The following is an 18,889-nucleotide window of genomic DNA, read 5'->3' on the forward strand; positions in this document are numbered from 1 at the left end:
GTCAGCGCAGCAGCGTACGGGTCCGGGTCGGAACTGACGCGACCCGTCACCAAGGGCCAGCAGGGACCACTGTAAGAGCCTCAGTCCGGCCTCACCTCCGCTTTGAGGGAGCAAATCCAGGGGCGGGGCGAGCGGGGGCGGGGCGAGCGGGGGCGGGGCGAGCGGGGGCGGGGCGAGCGGGGGCGGGGCGAGCGGGGGCGGGGCGAGCGGGGGCGGGGCGAGCGGGGGCGGGGCGAGCAGCCCGGACACGGCGGAGGCGGAGCCTGGAGCAGGAGCGAAAGGGAAAGGCATTGGGGCCACAGTGGGCTCCAAGTGGAAAGCTTCATGGTCTGTTTTACGGAAGTATTTGCTGTCCACCCAATGCAAATTCTAAAGTCGTTCCCCCAGCGTCGCTGCCCCGAATGCAGGGGGGCGGGGTTTTATTGTATAATATAATTTTCTTTAAATATTTTACAAAGACTTACTCCTGTACAGTATTACTTTTGTACTTTAAATTGTAGAAGCAACTTTTTAAAATATGTTCTTGCAGAGAAGTAAAACGTTAAGAAAAACAAGGCAGGAGGACTCTAGAGTAACTAATGGACGGTATTATTATGGGAGGTATAAACTTAGACTCCAGGAGTTGAGACCTTGCGCCCTGGAGCTTAGGCGCCTGGGAACTCTATTGCCAATCATATCACCAACCTTTATGTACTTCTTTCGTCAGTTGTAAAGTGGGGGTGATAATGGTTTCCTTACAGTGTAAGTATCTAGTAAATGGGAGACGTTATACTTATTACAGTTTTAAGTCCAGCCGCTCATGCTGTGATCTTGCCTGAACAAAGGATGTGAAATTAAGGGGCGTTAAGTCATCTTTGAAGCGGTGATGATGACAATATCCTATCTGTCTGGCCGAGTCAGACTGCTGTTGGCATAGTGGTATTTGCACGTTTCCTTAATTGAAGGGATTCTATTAAAATCACAAATTTTATGTGGCTGTTTGCCAGTGCCATTTAAAACCTAATATTCTAATAATGAAAGGGGAAAAACACACACACGCGTTTCTCAAAGGCGAGACATTTCGGCAGCACAATTGCATTCGTGCCCTTGGAGATGAAAAGCTAACAAATTTGGGGCCTGTACGTCCAGCCTGCCCATGGCAGGTTTTCAGTGGTCCACTCAGTGCTGTGGAGTTTTGTGTTGTTTTTCGTAGTTTTTGGTTTTTTAAGGCATTGTGTTTGAATTCATTATCGTCTTTTAATTTTTAATAGCTAATTTTTAAAGCTAATTTTGTATTTTTAGTAGAAACGAGGTTTCACCACGATGGTCAGGCTGGTATCAAACTCCTGATGTCAGGTGAGCCACCTGCCTCAGTCTCCCAAAGTGCTGGGACTACAGGCGTGAGCCACCGCACCTGGTCAAGGCTTGAACTTTCTAATGGGCCATAGCTCTTGTAGTGGGCTGCACTCTTCTAAATTACCTGGTCCCTGCACCATAGTCCAAAGGTTTAAGCAGAAACCTCAATGCACTTGATGTTACTGGCCCTCTTTGTACAGAGGATAAATATGCTAATTCTCTTCCTTAGGAGTTAGCCCTGAGAAGGAAAAGCTCAATGTTGTCAGATGCAGCAGGTCAACCCCACTGAGGGCTTCCCCTTTTAAATTCTTCATGGGTTTCATCAGGCTTCTGTGCAAAAATACCAGAAAACTCCAATGCATGACCCTGATATAATCCCATAACTTCATTTGCCAGAAGAACTAATAGCACTAAATTGGTAGTGATGAATGGTATCTAATTTCCAGTGATCATCTCCCCATCCCCCATCAACGAAACTGGGCTTTCCTAATGCTCACTAAATTGTTTTCAGTGGGACTACAGATGCTAATCTCGCCCAACCTCCTTCTGTTTTCTTATTTTGATGATATCAAATATTTGGCTCAGGGGAAGATAATTGGGAGTTCCCACATTAATTACCAGGAAGAAACAGTCAAAAAAAAAAAAAAAGGCCAAATAGCAACATCCGCTTGGCTTTCTGTTTATTGTAAAACACTGTAATTTCCCAAGGCTGGTTTAGATAAATACATTTTGTCCAAGTTCAGGGGCCGCTGTTTTCCCTTGCTTCGTGAAATTATCAATAGGCAGGCCTTTGATCTTCCTGATCCATGCAGCTTTGCTGGCTTTTCCTGGATCAACCACTCCAGTGGACTCCCTGGCCTGATATTCCTTCATCTTGGCTTCCTGGTGCTCCTTCTCCTCCTTCACGGTCAACAGCACGAACTCAGCGTTCACTCTAAAAGGATCAAGGGCTGTATAGATGCGAGGCCGTTCTTTCTTAAGAGACAGGGTGGCTGTGCCCACTTGTGGAGCTAGCATGCGGTTTGGTTTAATGACCTGCATACTGGTCAGGGGACCCGTACTGCACACAGCCCTTTCAATTGAACTGGTCACTTGGTCTCCACCCTTTAAGCTGCCAGAGAACCTGGAGCGGATAATCATGGGCTCGGGTATGGTGGACTGGGCTCTAGGACTGTGCAAAGAGATCTTCAAGTTGGGCTGCAGTTTCTGGATTTCAAGGGGAATACTGGTTCGTTTCACATCTATAGGAGGATTGCTCAATCTCAACCGATCAACTGCACGTTGGATTGATTTTCCTTTGAAATTCAAGACCTTCCTTGGGTATGAAATTGAAGGTCCCCAGACATCAGTAATTTCTGTTTGGGGCCTACAGGGATAGGCAAATTCCCCGGAATTACGGGCGTGCTGCAGGGCGCTAACAGTCAGGAGGAATTGGTCAGGTGACATAGGGATTTTCCAAGACTTTTTCTTTGGGTGACTGGGCAGTTTTCCAGGAGTTTCCAATTGTCCTTGTTTTTGTGCTTTCTCCGCATCATCTGCTTTTTCAAAAAAAAGAAAATTTTAAAAAATCGGCGTTCTATGAAAAATATTAAGTACGTATGCATTAAGTACTTGGGCATTCAAACTTCGAAGCACATTGAGGTCTTTGTTGCCCAACAGGTATGCCATCATACAGGCAGGCACCCTGAGTGGTATTAGAAATGCTGATACTAGAAACAATTTAATAAAACAAATTTTTTTGTTTGTTTGTTTTTGTTTTTGAGACGGAGTCTCGCTCTGTCACCCAGGCTGGAGTGCAGTGGCATGTTCTCTGCTCACTGCAAGCTCTGCCTTCCGGGTTCACGCCGTTTTCCTGCCTCAGCCTCCCAAGTAGCTGAGACTACAGGCGTCCGCCACCATGCCCGGCTAATTTTTTGTATTTTTTTTTAGTAGAGACGGGGTTTCACCGTGTTAGCCAGGATGGTCTCGATCTCCTGACCTCGTGATCCGCCCGCCTCGGCCTCCCAAAGTGCTGGGATTACAGGCGTGAGCCACCACAGCCGGCCAATAAAACAAGTTTTTAATAAAATGCTAGTATTGAGTAAAGAGTATATTAGCCTCTAAGTGTGCATATTTTGAATGCAACAGATGTGATTTCAATGCTACACATATTTTTGAAAATGTGAAGTTGAGGCCGGGCGCGGTGGCTCACGCCTGTAATCCCAGCACTTTGGGAGACCCAGGCGGGTGGATCACGAGGTCAGGCGATCCAGACCATCCTGGCTAACACGGTGAAACCCCGCCTCTACTAAAAATACAAAAAAATTAGCCGGGCGTGGTGGCAGGCGCCTGTAATCCTAGCTACTCAGGAGGCTGAGGCAGGAGAATCACTCGAACTCAGGAGGCAGAGGTTGCAGTGAGCCGAGATCACGCCACTGCACTCCAGCCTGGGCAACAGAGCGAGACTCCATCTCAAAAAAAAAAAAAAAACTGAGTGAAATCAAGATGTCAAAATCTTCCCTATTCTCCTTGCAAACTCAAAAAGAGAATTTTTCTCCTTTTATAAAAAAAGGAATTGTGATGAGCTCATTGTTTATTAATTTGTCTTTTTTCAAATGATAATGTATTGTGGATCTCTTTCCAAGTTAGTATATACAGATCCTCATCATACAATTTTTAGCTGTATATAATATTCCATACAATAGATTTTTTTATTACTTAGCCATTGCCCATTGATGGACATTAAGTTTGTTAATGGTCAACCTAGAAGAAAATGCAGACCCCATTTTGGGAGGCTGGGGCAGGAGGATTGCTTGAGCCCTGGATTTGGAGGTTACAGTGAGCTATGATTGTACCACTGTACTCCAGCCTGGGGAACAGAGTGAAATCCTGTCTCAGAGAAAAGAAGAATTCTAACCTGTTCATCTCATAACATTATTATGGATATAATAATAAGATCGCTAAAATCATGTAAATAAAAGTACATTGTTAGGGAAGAGGTTTAAAACTATAGAGAATTATAGAGTTGTTTACAGAATTTGAATGTCTTTTTAAAATTTGCTTTAAAATATAATACTTGTCAGCTAATAACATAAAAAAGAAATTCAAGTTATTTTCAAAGGATGGGGAGAAGTAAGCAAAAACACACGCTGAATAAGCAAACTCAGAGTGAAAACTGTGTTTCCATTATGATTAAGTTGGTAGGCAAAAAATACTCAGTGGAAAGTAGAGTGGTGGGTTATTGAACCTTTCCCTCATACTATCATCATCGGAACACTTTTGTGGAGTGTTGTCTATGTAGAAAAGCGTGCTAGTTCCCAAGGTTGCAGAGAGGTAAATAACATGGTCTTCATTCTCTTGGAATCACGTCGAGGAGAAGGCAACACACGTGCATTAAAAGGACACTAAGTGTTGTCAAAGGTACATTTCACTCAACAAATGTGGTTTTTTAGTGCACATGCCAGCCAGGCATGGTGCTCGACCCTGGAGGTGCAGTGGTGACTAAGGCACACTTCTGTGTCTTGTGGGGTTCTGAGTCATGAAGCACCTCATATGTGTGTAATGTGCTAAATACTACAAGGACAGGCCCAGTGTGACGTGGGAGCACAAAGAGAAGTATCTACCTCAAACTGAGGAGACCAAGGATTACTTCTCAGGGAATGCGTCTTGAAGCTGAGAACCAGAGGTTGAGTAAGAAATAAGCCATTCTGCCTGTTCCCTGCTGAGCTCTTGTTTCTGTTCCTTCCTCCTCCACCTACTCTAGTTTGGTGGTCCTTAATCTCCTCCTCATCTCACTTCCCTGCATTTGCTACACTCCACACTGTCTGTACCTCCAACCCAGATTGCTTTTCTGAGCCTAGTTCCTCTGAAAATCTATTGGGCTGCCCCTGCAGGCAGCTCACATTTTGTGTGTATTCACCCCAATTCACTTTCTTTCCCAAATCTTTTTCCTTAATACCTTAATTTATGTTCCAAAGTCAGGCACCTATAAGCCATCCTAGGCACTCTTTTTCTGTTATCTCCTTCATCTGATTACTCAACAGATTGTGTCTTTTCAACCCCCTGATTTACCCTGGAATCTGTGCCCTCTCACCTCAGTGCTTTAGCTTCAGCCCATCATCGGTTTTGCGTGGGTTATTACAGCACATCCCAGCTGACTTCTCTGCCTTCTTCCTAACCCTCCTTCCATCTGTCTTCCACTCAACTGGCAGATAGGTCTTCCGTAAGTGATCACTGTTTCACCAAACATATTTAAGACAAAACACATATCTTTGCTGTGATGAAAAGTACTATAATAAACATGAGTACAGGTATCTTTTTGATTAATGTTGATTTCTTTCCTTTTGTGTAGATACTCAGTAGTGGGATTGCTGGATCAAATGGTAGTTCTATTTTTAGTTCTTTGGGAGATCGCCATACTATTTTCCATAGAGGCTATACTAATTTACATGCCCCGTCAACAGTGTGTAAGAGTTCCCTTTCCTCTGCATCCTCATCAACATCTTCATTTTTTATGATAACAATAGCTCTTCTGACTGGGGTAAAATGATATCTCAGTATGGTTTTAATTTGCATTCCTCTGATGATTAGTGATGTTGAGCATTTTTTCATATACCTTTTGGCTATTCGTATGTCTTCTTTTTTTCTTTTTCTTTTTCTTTTTTTTTTTTTTTTTTTTTTTTTGAGACAGGTCTTGCTCTGTTACTTAGGCTGGAATGCAGTGGCAGGACTATGGCTCACTGCACCCTTAACCTCCAGAACTCGTGATCCTCCCACCTCAGCCTCCCAAGTAGCTGGAATTACAGGTGCCAGTCGCTGGGCCTAGGTAATTTTTTTTTACTTTGTGTGGCCGGTTTCGAACTCCTGGGCTCAAGCGTTTCTCCTGCCTCGGCCTCCTAAAGTGCTGGGATTACAAGTGCGAGCCAACACACCCAGCTAATTTTGTTTTTAAATTTTTTGTAGACACAGTGTCTCACTATGTTGCCCAGGCTGGTCTCAAACTCCTGGCCTCAAGTGATCTTTCTGTCTTGGCCTCCCAAAGTGCTGGGATTACAGGCATGAGCCACCATGTATGTCTTCTTTCAAAAAATGTGATGTCATTTGCCCACATTTCAATGGCATTATTTGTTTGTTTGTTTGTTTTTACTATTGAGTTGTTTGAATTCCTTGTACATTCTGGGTATTAATGCTCTTGTCACACGAACAGTTTTAGGCACCATTTTCAATACTATATTACAGAGGTGAACAAAACAGAAAAATTCTTGCTATCGTGGAGCTTGCATGCTAGCCATTATACCTGGCAGGTAGCTAATGCTTAATAATGGATGGATGGACAGGTGGATGGATGATAAGAGAAAGAAATGACCTCCTAGGTGGGAGAAATACAGAAGTAAAGATACCAAAGAAGGAATACATGGCATCTGCTGTCAAGGCGATGAGAAGGCCATTCGGACAGGAGTGGAGAATGAGCGAAGAGACAAAATGAACATCAAGATAGAGAGACACGCTGTAGACCTTGACAGACAGACAGACTTTGGATAGGTAGAGAATGAAGCAAAGACCATGTCAGGCAAGATGAACATGGTGAGCAAAAATGCAAAGATGGGAGTGCAAAATATATGTGTAAGGATAAAAACAGGCAACCTGGCCAGCTGTAGAGGGAAGGATGTATATAGGAGAATTGTGAGGAAGTAAAACTGGGAAGAGGTTAAGGAAAATGTACAGACCAGACTACACTGTGAAGGCTGTTCTATAGGAACTGGACCTTGGTCAGTGTTGTTCTGGAGCTCCTGACTAGTATATAATAAGGCAAGAGAGAGAAAGAAAAGGCACATACACTGGAAAGAAATGAAATTCTTTTCACAATGTGATTGTTTATGTGGAAAATTCAAAGGAATCTACAGAAAAGCTACTAGGAGTAATAAGTAAATCTAGCAAGGGTATAGAATACAAGGTCAGTATTCCAAAATCAGCTGTGGAATTCCACTTCCAGCATGACAACATGGGCTGCTCCCCAGTGAAACTGGGCTCGGCAGAGGACTCTTCGATAAAACACAAAAGCCACAAACCATGCAAGAAAAGTAGATAAACTGTACTTCATCAAAATTAAAAACTTCTGCTCTTCAGAAGACACTTAAAATGAAAATACAAGCCACAGAGTAGGAGATAACATTTGTAAAATACAGACATGATGAAGAACTCATGTACAGAATATAGAAAGAAGTCTTAAACTCATTAAGAAAACAACCTTAAAAATAGACAAAAGGGGCCGGGCACAGTGGCTCACGCCTGTAATCCTAGCCCTTTAGGAGGCCAAAGCAGGAGGACTGCTTGAGCCCAGGAGTTTGAGACCAGTCTGGGCAATATAGTGAGACCTCATCTTTACAAAATTTTTTTAAAAAATTAGGTATGGCAGCATGTGCCTGTAGTCCCAACTACTTGGGAGGCTGAGGAGGGAGGATCACTTGAGCCCAGGAAGCAGATGTTGCAGTCAGCTAAGATCATGCCACTGCACTCAAGTCTGGGTGACACAGCAAGACCCTGTCAAAAAAAAAAAAAAGTGCGTAAAAGATTTAAATAGGCCCTACTCCAAAGAAGAAATACAGACGTTAAATAAGCAAAAGATTTTCAACGTCAGTAATCATAGGGGAAATGCAAATTAAAAACACAATGAGATACCACTACACGCCTATTAGCATAATTAACATTTATTAAAAACAACAATACAGTGCTGACAAGGGTGTAGAATACCTGAAGCTCTCGTTTATTGCTAGTGTGAATGCAGAATGGTACAATCAATTCCAAGAACAGTTTGGCAGATTTCAATAAATTTAAACAAAATTTACCATACAATCCCATTCCTGTGTATGTATGGACACATGTCCATACAAAGATCTGTACATGAATATTAGCTTAAATATCACTAAAGACAACCTAAACATCCCTCAGCTGATGAATAGATAAACAAATTACGGCTGAAATACTACTCAGAAATTAAAAGGAACAAACCACTGGTACGTGCAGTGACACGGGTGTGTTTCAAAAGCACTATGTTAAGTGAAAGAAGACAGAGACAAAAGACAGCATGTCGTATGATTCCATTTATATGACATTTTGGAAAGCCAAAACTAGGCACAGAAGTAAGATCAGTGGTTACTGGGAAACGGCGGTGGGGGGAGGGGTGCGGGGGACAGGAGGGAATTGGCTACAGAGGGGCATAAGAAACTTTTTGAAAAGATAAATTTATATGTTCCATATCTTGATTGTGGTGGTGGTTACACTATGTTTACCTTTTTTTTTTTTTTTAACTCAGAACTAACTGTACACTTGCAATGGGTAAATTTGTGTATTGAAAATTATAGTCTGTTTTAGACTAGATTTTCAGAGCACTTGGTTTTTCCTTGGGGAATAGAATGTTGTAGAACATAAGATTTTGGGGTCCGATTGCCTGGAATCAAAGCCTAGCTCCTCCGCCTGCTTCACCATGCAACCCTGACCATATTACTAAACTTCTCTGAGGCTCTGTTTCCTCGCCTATAAAATGAGGTTCGTGCCTTCCACCTCATAGAGTTATGTGAGAAAACGACTGTTCTTATAAAGCCGTCAGTAAATGATACTGCTGTCATCATTGTTACTACTTTTTTCAGAATTGTGTCCTCAGCATCTCTGGATGTTACACTCTGTGCTAAATGCTGGAATATGACCAGCATGACCTGATCCCTGCCTTCATTCCCGTCCGGTGGGGAAGGTAGAACTTTAGCCAGTGAACAGTTGAGCTCTAAAAGATCATTCTAGGTGGGCATCAATGGTGCCAAGGAAAGAGACAGAATGATAATACAGAACAATTGGGAGAGAGCACTCCAGAGCGGGAAGGCACTGGGAGGGAGTGGATTGGAGTTGAGAACTGAAGGAGAGTGATGCAGAGATCTGGGGGAACGTACGGTGGCCAGAGTGGGCTTCTACCTGACACTATAAATAGAAAGGCCAGTGTGGTGAGAACATAATGAACAAGGGGCAGGGTGGCACAAGATGAAGACAGAAGGGCTGGAACTCCATGTGCAGTGGGAGAAGCCAGAAATAAGTTGTACAAATGGGGCTGGTGTGATCAGATTTAGGTTAAAAGAACCCCTCAGCTGCCTGGGTAAAATAGACCATAGAATCCCAGGAGAGAGACTTGGGGCAGCTCCTGGCATGACTTGATGATAGCTTGGACCAGGGTGGTCACAGCAGAAGTGAAGTTCTTCTGTTACTCAGCTCAAAATTCAGGCTGGCTACCATTGCCTACTCTTCTCTGAAACGTTCCCGTCTCTATTGCCTATGTGTATCTTCACCTTTGTTACAGTGCTATAGCTCTGTCTACCTGTAATTCATTATAAGGGAGAGGAGCAGAGGTGACATTAGAATGTAATCCCAGAGAAGGTGCAGCTCCCCTGTTCAGTCAAATCCTCACAGCCAGCACCAACAGAAATACATTTCTGTTTAGCCAGGCTGCCGATGCTTGTAGCATGAAGAATAATAGAGTAAACCCCACAGGGAAACAGAACCCCATAGAATTCTCCACCTCTCCTCTACTGAGAGTCTCCTTAAAGGCGGAATGGTTTGAATGCCCAGCCATCTAAATATAGGCTTTTCTTTTGTTCCCTCTTAATTTAACTGAGTGATTCTCAAACTCTAGTGAACACAGTCATTATTTTCCAGAATTGTACATACATAACCTTCCATGTACTTTATGGATGAGTTCAGGGGATTTTAAAGGATAATTTTGAATGTAATATAGTTTCACCTTAGGGCTGACCTAAATAAACTGAATAAACTGCAGCTCCACTGTTTCAAGAAATTGAAAATGCATCTGGTCCTAATACAGCTTTGAGTGCCAGTCTTGGTGCTGCTTGCCTGTTTGTTACTGAGCTCCCTTTTGTCTATGTTGTTTCAAATGATGGAGAAAGTGACCTTGAATATATGTAATAAACAAGGAATAGTAAGATAATTGGCTGTTTTTGAAATAGTTACAGTAAAAACCCTTTGCATTTTAAGCAACATAGACATTTTCTATAATTTTTTTTTGCAAATCAAAGGGGAAAATGTTTATAGCTAAAATACCATTTAATGAGAACAAAATCAATGCAATGACATTGTCATTTGTTTCATTTTCCCAAGGAGAATACAGAGGACAGTACTTAAGTTTTAGTTATGTTGATTGCTTGTGTGAAATGCTGATTCCTGCCAGCAGTCGCCAGGTGTCTCTCACGCTGCTGGGAGAGGAATGTCTCGTCTTCTTCATCTGGTTGCCTCCGTCACTGTTCTAGAGGCTTCTGGCACTGGTGCAAGGCAGAGCTGTGCTTCCTTGAGAGTGTGCCAAGCATTTACTTTGGTTATTTAGTTCTAGTCTGGGAGCAGACACAAAAGGAAAAAAAAGAAAATACCAACTCCATGTGTCTGAGGTATCACTTATAGTTTAAAAAAAATGATTGTCTTATCATGTTTGGGAAAATACTGGTCTTCCTGTTTTCCTCCTATTTAAATTCATCCTAAAACTTCCAGGGACACAAGAAATTATTAGCTATTTTGACCATCCATTCCAGAAAAGATGGTGGCCTTACAATAATTGCAAGTGGTTAATAGAAACATCCTTTTACAGCTTCTATTTACCAAATGTAGTTCCTGTGGAAGCACTTGACCCCGTGGCTTTCTGCTTTTTATGTCAGCTCTGGGGCCTTTATGATAGAATTATTTATCAGAGTCTTTAATGGCTCGGGGCCACTTGATGAACTTGAGTACACTGTACATCACATCACTTAGGAAGCATCCCAGATGCTCATGGATAAATCTAGAGTCGTGGTGCATTTGGCTAAAGAGCTCCTGCATGTGAGGAAGTCTGGAGAAAAGTGCTCCAGAGGGGTCACAATGGAGCTGTGTTAACCTCTGCTGTCAGCTTCTCACCACGGAGTTTATCCCTATTACTTGGAGCCAAACCACTGCATCTGTTCTCCTTAGGCTGTGTCAGCGCAGCCACCTCACAGCCTCAGGGACCCACGGCTTCCATTCTGGATACTCACACTGGTAAGTGGGACTTGGCAGAGGCCAAATCAAGTAGTTTGTTTCTGACACCTCTGAGCCCATTTCTTTGCCAGTTTTATATCATCACTAGTAACTCCCTTCCCTGTACCTCTTACACATCACACAGGCAGCCAGTGTCCTTGAACACCTTCCACTTAACGAAGCTGCATATCTGCTTGCAACACTCGTCCTAATAGGATAAAAGGATTAAGTAGTTTTAGGGTGGCCAAGAGGAGGGGACAGCAGGAGACAAGTGGTTAAAAGTGAACGTTCCCAATATTTCTTCTAAAATATACCTCAGTTCTTCTCAGGAGGATAAAACCAAGTGTTTTGCCCTAGGAGATTATAGCTGCCAGAGTCTAACACTTATTTTGGAATGTTTCCGGGGGTCCTTGGGACCCCTTTTCTATCTTATGGTCTTCCGTGCTGTAAGACCTGGAGACCAACTGGCCTGAATGGAGGTTGTGGGGCCTGAGGGCTCTCCCAGCACCTCTGCCAGCCCTGTCGCCTCATTGGTTCCTTCTCTTCTGACTTCATATTTGACAGGTTGTCCTTCTGTCTTAGACAAAAATCTATTAAATTCGCTGCTCCATCCAGTTACTCTTCTATTTCTCCTCTTTGTAGCCGACTTCTGGAAAGGGTGGCCTGCTCACCACTTCACTAGTTGCAGCTCAGCTTCCAGCCTCACCATTCATCTCTGCTTTTCTCTGTACTTTCACTGCATTTTTCTCTCTGCATGGCGGCCCTTCCAACCGCTCTTCACTTAAATGGACTCATATCAAAATGGCAACCTCAGCCTTAGCCCCTAGGTCCTCCAGCTGAGTTCCCTGTCCCAATTCCAAATCTTTATGAGAGAAAATTTGATTGCTCCAGCTTGGGCCTGATAGTTCCATTTCCCTGGGGCAAAGGAAAGGGTTATAAGGACAATTAAGCATTAGGGATGGGAATGGGAGGACAAAAGTACTTAAGGCAAAGGGAAGGATCCAGGGCAGCTTCCACGGGACTTTACGTGGCACTTGGCCAGATGTGTATCTAAAGCTATGATTCTGCTTTGTAACTTTCTAGCTATAATCCACCTCCCCAACTTTCAACAAACACATTATGTCAAATTCTTTCTGTGTGTTATAATTAAAGCCAAAGAGATTCTTAATATTTACCAAGTCTTAATTTCGCTTCAGAGATGTGTTTCCTAGTTCGGTTAAAATTGGAGTTTCTGTTCATGTTCTCCTTGTTTTCAGAGAAGACAGAGAGATGTAGACACCGTTCATCTACTATCTTTTATCAAACCTGAGGTCCTTCAGACTTATATTTTTAAGGTATCTTATATATATATTTTTAGTGATATCCTTTTTGCTGGTCTATCCTAATTTAATATTTCTTAAGGACGTCAAGGCCTACTGTTTCTTTTAAATATTTTAGAATCAAATAATTATTTTCTTCAATTCATCAAGAGTGTATTGATCACCTGTAATGTACAAGCACTGTCAGTTTTGTTTTTATAATGCTCAAAGTTTTATAATCTGGGTGAAAAACTAGCCACATGTATAAAATGCTTAACAGACAGCATAAGGCAGCCCAGAAATATGTGTTGAATGAAATGAATAGATCAGTACAAACAAGAATTTCTCTGGAAAGTCAGACAAAGAAGAAGGACAGAGTGGACAGTGAAAGCTTCCTGCAGGCGGAGCCAGGACTGGGCCTTTCTTCTTGTTATTTCAGAGACATCTGTATTTTGATTATGTCTCTTTTGAATTATCTATTTTCCAGCTTGGTGACGCTGACAGGGAAATAATACATGTCAGCATTAGTTTTTCCAACTTAATGGATCAGATGAGAGTGATCCATAACATGTAAGCTTTAGGTGTGGGCTGTAAGCAGGAGAGATTGCACGATAAGAGCAGAGCAAAAGGTTATTTAGAGAGGATAAATTAAAACACTTGGAATTGGGGTCAGTCAATACCTGGTTTTGAAATGAATGATGAAGATGGAGTTTTAGAAATGAAATGAATGGATTGTTTGGTTGGCATTATTAACTTAAAGAACAGGGTTTAGGTTAAGTATTATAGGGCTTTACAGGAGACATTTTTCAAATTTACTGAGGGTTTTACCAGTAAGCACTTAAGCAAATGTAAACATTTTGTGGGCTGCAGGGGAGCTGTGGATATTATTCATCACCCAGGCACACTAGTCTAGCAGACGGGTACCCAGCCAGGCTAAAGCTCTGCAGAGTTTCTAAGGGTTGTTATGATTAGTCTCTTGGTGTGTATATATTGCTAATGTAATAAGAACATAAACATTTTATAAGTATAGAAATTTCTTTTTTTTTAGTGTTAACCAGTGAAGTGGCAGGAAGAACAAATTTGGCCTCAACTTAATAATAGTGGTGTTAATGTAGAGAACTTGTTCTTAAAATAAAACTGTTCTCTATTAACCATGGTATGAAGAGTTCACAAAAACTTTTTGTACATATTGTCATGCTTAGTCATTACAATGGTTGAACAAGAGGAACGCTGCTGGGATTTTCTGAAAGTTACACTCCCTTCTCTCATCATGAGAAAAAAGAAAGCATTTGTGACTATTTTCAAGCGTTGTGAGCTGTGACAGTATTCCTAGGGATGAAGGATTCTTCTGTTCTCATCTCCCTTTTATAATCAGAAAATGCCCAGATATTCTAATAAATATGAATATGAAGAGTTAACTGTCATAGTAACTTAGTCTATCACTTGTAGCCAATTAAAACATATGTTTTAGGAGCAAATATCTTTTACTAATAATCTAGGGTCATTTTGCCTAATGTCTCTTCACTTTGATTCCTCTCTTTTCACGTAAGACGATGTGAAAAGATGGGACACAATTAAATGCTGTTTTCATTGGTTGGTGTTAGATGAGTGGAAGTCATACCATAGCGTTCTCTCTTTTGCATGGTTTGTAAAGGTTCATTTGGGCACCATTCTTAAGTTCAGAGAATATAAAGATGAATAGTGCAAAGTCACTTCACTGAAAAAACACAGCATAAGGGGATGGGCAGCCATGGCAGCAGCTCATGTTAGCATGAGGTCTAAGAAGTGCTGTGAGAGCTTGGGAACAGACATGGAGACCAACCATGTGGAGGGGCTCAGGAAGGTGAGAACGGAGAGAGAAAATGTCCTTGGAGGAGTTTTTTGATGTCTAAGCTGAGTCTTAGAGGATGAGTAAGAGATGGTCATACAAAAGATGGAGAGAAGTGTTTCAGGGGGCAAGGGGGCCAATTCTAGGGCAAAGGAGCTAGATGCACAGTTAATTAGACACGTTCACAGAACAGATCAGAGATGGCAAAATAATGGCCAATAGACCAAATCCTGAAGAAGCATTTTTTGTTTGGCCTGCTGTGCCAGGCTGGTCCTTGTAGATGTCTGCATTTGTAAACATGGTCCCTGGCCAAAGGTCCTGGTCCCAAGGGGCAGGTAAGGAGATGGAGTAAGAGGTCAGCACTATACCTCCGGGTAGCTGCACGTGCACGCAGCTGCCAGTCTCCAAAGCAGCAGAGATGGATAGTTTTATTTCCCAGCTTCATTCTTTATAAATTGTGTTTTATTTAAGCTTTTCAAAGACTCTTTAAAATTCATTGACCCTATTTGGTGCAGGTGAACAAAGCTATTTTTTAAGTAGAGTCCTATAAATTAAAAATAAGGAGGCAGATCAGAGAATTCAACTATCTGGCTCAATCAGGAGAAAGGAAAGGTATGTGTCTGTCACGTGGCAGGCATTGGGTGTTATGGGATCCAGGAGTAATGGAGGGATTCGGTAGTTGGTCCCTGCCCTCAAGAAATTAGAAAAACAGACTAAGAGATTGGACTACAATGCTGGAAACTCTGATTTTCGTAGCTGGGACAATAGGAATCACTCCTCCTTAAAAATTCCTAAGTCTTTGTACAAATTACCCTTAATTTAAGATGAATTGGTGTAGCATAATTCAGGGGTCACCACGTACTCCCCTCTGAATAAGAAGGCTGAATCTCAGTGGTCAGCAATGAGGGAGATTCATTTTGGTATTTTTTTCTTTTTTCTTTTATAGGCAATCTTTCTTCTCTTCCTTCTAGATTAACAGGATTCTTTCAGTCAGCTTTCAAAACTCATTCAGTGTAGATCTGGTTTGTTTTCTTCCTTGAAAAAAATTATTAATATAATACCACAGTCTCTGCACCGAACATCATGATGCATGCCTATAATCGCAGCTACTCAGGAGGCTGAGGTGGGAGAATCACTTGACACCAAGAGTTTGAGCATTTTTTAGAGATGGGACCCCATTTCTTAAAATAAATAAATAAATAAATAAATAAAAAGGTGTCTGTGTGTGTGAAACCACAATCTCCACGTTCTGAATGTAATTATGCCAAATATATTTTCTTCTTACATTCTTTGCATTTCTTTTAAACATGTTTTAAAATTTAATTTTCTTTTAAAATAGGTTTTGTTTTCCCATTTTCTTCACAATTTCCTTAAGTTCTGAATTTACATCAGTCATCTGCCACTCTACAATATCTATAACTTGAGACATGTTCAGAAATAGAAAACTCCTAAATAAGATTCTGGGGAGACATTTTCAAAACAGTTTTCTGTAGAGGCTTTCTCCAGAAACTCATTTCCAAGCTCCAATGTGGGATTTACACGGGAAATTAAAGTTAAATTGTCTTGATTTGATTAAGGTTTTGCATTTTCTTTTGTTTTTGAAGAAAGGATATTTTATTTTGTAATTTCAAAGTCATTTATTGTGGAAGAATGACCAAGAAGTATGAAATTAATTTTTGTCTAAACTAATTACCTGCAGAGCTGCTCAAAATATAAAGCTTTCTTGACTTAACATTTCATAGGCTTCTCTGAGACATTACTTAACAGAAAGGCCACATTTTTCCAGGAAGTTATTTAAAAGTCAGGTAATTTAAATTACATTTATTAAGTGCAATAAATAGGCACCAAATTAAAGCTTGTTTCTCTCTTATTTGTTCTTAATTTCTGTAGAAAATTATACTTTCGTAGAGCTATGTAGGGGCTGATGTTTAGTAAACAAAACAATGTTATATTTAAAAAGGAGAAAAAAATAATTCATAGAAATGTGTGGACCAATTTTTCCCCACTCTCAATCCATCAGTTTCTTTTCTACAGTAGCCTTGGGCAGGAAAGGCAGAGGTAGAAAAATCTCAAGCAGTGATGCTCAGTAGAAAGACATCTTAATTTAAAATGTAATTCAGTTTTGTATATGAGTTTTGAAATAAATCATCATTCAACCCTCAGCATGAACCATGAACCGATTTGCATGCGTGAGTGAATGAATATAAAAGAATTTTTTTGTTCAAGAAAATTAGTCTTTTTCTGACCACCCCCATCAAATAGTGCTGTTTTTCTTATTCACACATTTATTCTGTGTTGTTGAAAATTAGAACTTTTTTTGCAATATTATCACACCTTGTTCAACTCTATTTCAGATTGTTCTTATATAAATTCAATCCAGCAAGAATCACTCACAGAGATTATTAATTCCTCTGTTCTTAATAAAAGGCCATTACAGCTACTGTTGCAGCAGTGCAAGAGCACCAACGTTTAAAAAACATGTTTTGTATGTGATCAATCTAGCTTTTCAATATACCACTTTTTGTAATTTGGTATAATAAAATTAAATTGTAAGTAAAATTAAAATTGAAGATAAAAATAGTGGTATATTCATGTCTTTATAAGTCTGACAAAATAAATCAGGGGAAACAATTTATGGCAAGTTTATCAGCCCCTCCCTCCAGCTCTATTTAAATAGGTCCTTCCTATTTAAATTATTCTGTCTTATTTCATCTGTTCTTTCTTGTAGCTGATTTTACAATTGGAGAGTTCACGGTAGTTACATGTGTTTGTTTAAGGTCTGTCTTCCTTTCTAGACTAAACTCTTGCTGTTTTGTTCACTGCTGTACAGCTACACTTAGCATAGTGGCTATCTAGGCAATGAGAAATTTTAATGAATGAATGAATGAACAAGTCAACACTATGTGCTCATTTAACAAGCACTTTTTAAGTGCTTTATTTACATCATTGTATTTAATTCTTAAGACAACTCTATAATACCTCCCATCTTACAGATGAAGAATCTAAGGCCAACAGATTAAATAATTTGCTCAAGATCACACGGCTAAACAAGTAGAAACCCGCCTTCCCTATTGTCTTTTTATTGAGCCTTTACCTAAGCAAGTTTGACTTGAAAGTTTCAGTCTTGCCATTGAAAGAGCCATAATACACCCTTTCAGTTGAGGAAACCAAGGACCAGAGAGGTTAAATAAGTTACCCACTTTTAAATAACTAGTTAACTTCAGAGTCAGAACTAGAATGCAGACCACCTGATCCTACTCAGCATGCTTAGTTATGGTTCCATGAGGAAACCAGAATTTAGCACTAATAATAAAAAGTATTAAAGTATTTTTAAAACATATTTCTTATGAAAAATCCCAACAGATGGAATAGTAGAGCTCACTCTACAGTGGACCCTCAACATACTCATGGCCCAGAATCAACAACTATCAAGACTTTTACCACACTTGCTTCATCTTGCCCTTTAAGTACTTTTAATGATCAAAACACTTGTAGCTGTATGATTAAATTAAAACAAAGTAGATAGTGCAGGTAAGTCAGAAGTCTAAGGATATATCCAAAGTTCCTCTGCTAATTGATAACAGAGCTAGTTCACAGCCCTCTATTCTTCCACTAGAACATGCCAAGAGATATATAATGAAAGACAACTGAAAGTGGATGACCTAACCAGGCCGGCCGCAGTCAGCACTGGAGTGGAGCGGCTTATGTTGGCTCAGCATATGTAGCTTGGCCAGATGGGGACCAGCATCACATTGGTAATGGTATAGTAGTTATCAAATCTCAGAGAGCTTCCAGACCACGTGGATTCCTAACAAGTTCCCAGGTGATGCTGATGGTCCAGGAGCCACACTTAGAATCATGGTGTGGAGGATCTACCCAGAAATTCCAATGAGGCCCTCTTTCCTAAGGTAACTGAGCCCAGAGACACCCAAGAAGGCCAGCTTAGCCTTTCTTCTCCTCATCTTGCTTCTAGAAACCAGATGTCAGAGTAACACTTGAACTGGAAGCAAACTGCTAAGGAATTTAAATGATAAAAAGGAGAAAAAGGACTAATAAAAAAAACATATTTCACAAAAAATTTAAATATTGAATAAATTATGAAAGGAGAAAACTCAGGTGTGTATGTGTGTGTGCCTGTGTGCGTCTCCAGGCTTGGGATGCTTTCAAAAATCCATCTAGGAATGGGAAGAGCCGATGGTTTTTGTTTTTTTAATCAAAGGCTGAATGGTATGATTAAGAGAAAGAGTATATAGACTAATTGACCTAAAATAACAAGAAATCAGTCTTTGACATAATAGTGTTTGAGATCTCTGAGATTTAGCTCTGACCACATTTTATGAGCACTAAGGCAGAAAATCATAGTTGTGTTTAACTGAGATGAAAAATGAACACTCTTTTCTAACCTTTTTCT

General features: G+C 40.8%; 1 protein-coding gene across 1 annotated transcript in view, besides 4 other annotated features; it reads right to left on the reverse strand.

Annotated features, from left to right (window-relative positions):
- Nucleotides 1-1,998: 1,998 nt before the first annotated feature.
- FBXW10B (F-box and WD repeat domain containing 10B) overlaps nt 1,999-18,889 on the reverse strand; it is a 54,223-nt gene continuing 37,332 nt past the window's right edge. Inside the window, exons 12-13 of the mRNA NM_001282540.2 lie at nt 5,408-5,547; nt 1,999-2,870 (exon numbers count right to left, since the gene is read on the reverse strand). Of these exons, the coding sequence (NP_001269469.1) occupies nt 5,409-5,547 (139 nt within the window). The 3' untranslated portion in view covers nt 1,999-2,870; nt 5,408. The remainder of the gene's footprint in view (nt 2,871-5,407; nt 5,548-18,889) is intronic.
- Nucleotides 4,102-13,039: a non allelic homologous recombination region, noted in NCBI's record as "sub-region Zone 2', recombines with sub-region Zone 2 within the distal CMT1A-REP". NCBI's record gives the evidence for it as "EXISTENCE:restriction fragment detection evidence [ECO:0001124][PMID:8651299]".
- Nucleotides 4,102-18,889: part of a biological region, named in NCBI's record as "proximal CMT1A-REP", that runs on past the window's edge. NCBI's record gives its function as "recombination_partner: LOC105943586".
- Nucleotides 13,224-17,860: a non allelic homologous recombination region, noted in NCBI's record as "sub-region Zone 3', recombines with sub-region Zone 3 within the distal CMT1A-REP". NCBI's record gives the evidence for it as "EXISTENCE:restriction fragment detection evidence [ECO:0001124][PMID:8651299]".
- Nucleotides 17,861-18,889: part of a non allelic homologous recombination region, noted in NCBI's record as "sub-region Zone 1', recombines with sub-region Zone 1 within the distal CMT1A-REP", that runs on past the window's edge. NCBI's record gives the evidence for it as "EXISTENCE:restriction fragment detection evidence [ECO:0001124][PMID:8651299]".

Source organism: Homo sapiens, chromosome 17 (assembly GCF_000001405.40).
Source record: "Homo sapiens chromosome 17, GRCh38.p14 Primary Assembly".
NCBI classification, from domain to species: Eukaryota; Metazoa; Chordata; class Mammalia; order Primates; family Hominidae; genus Homo; species Homo sapiens.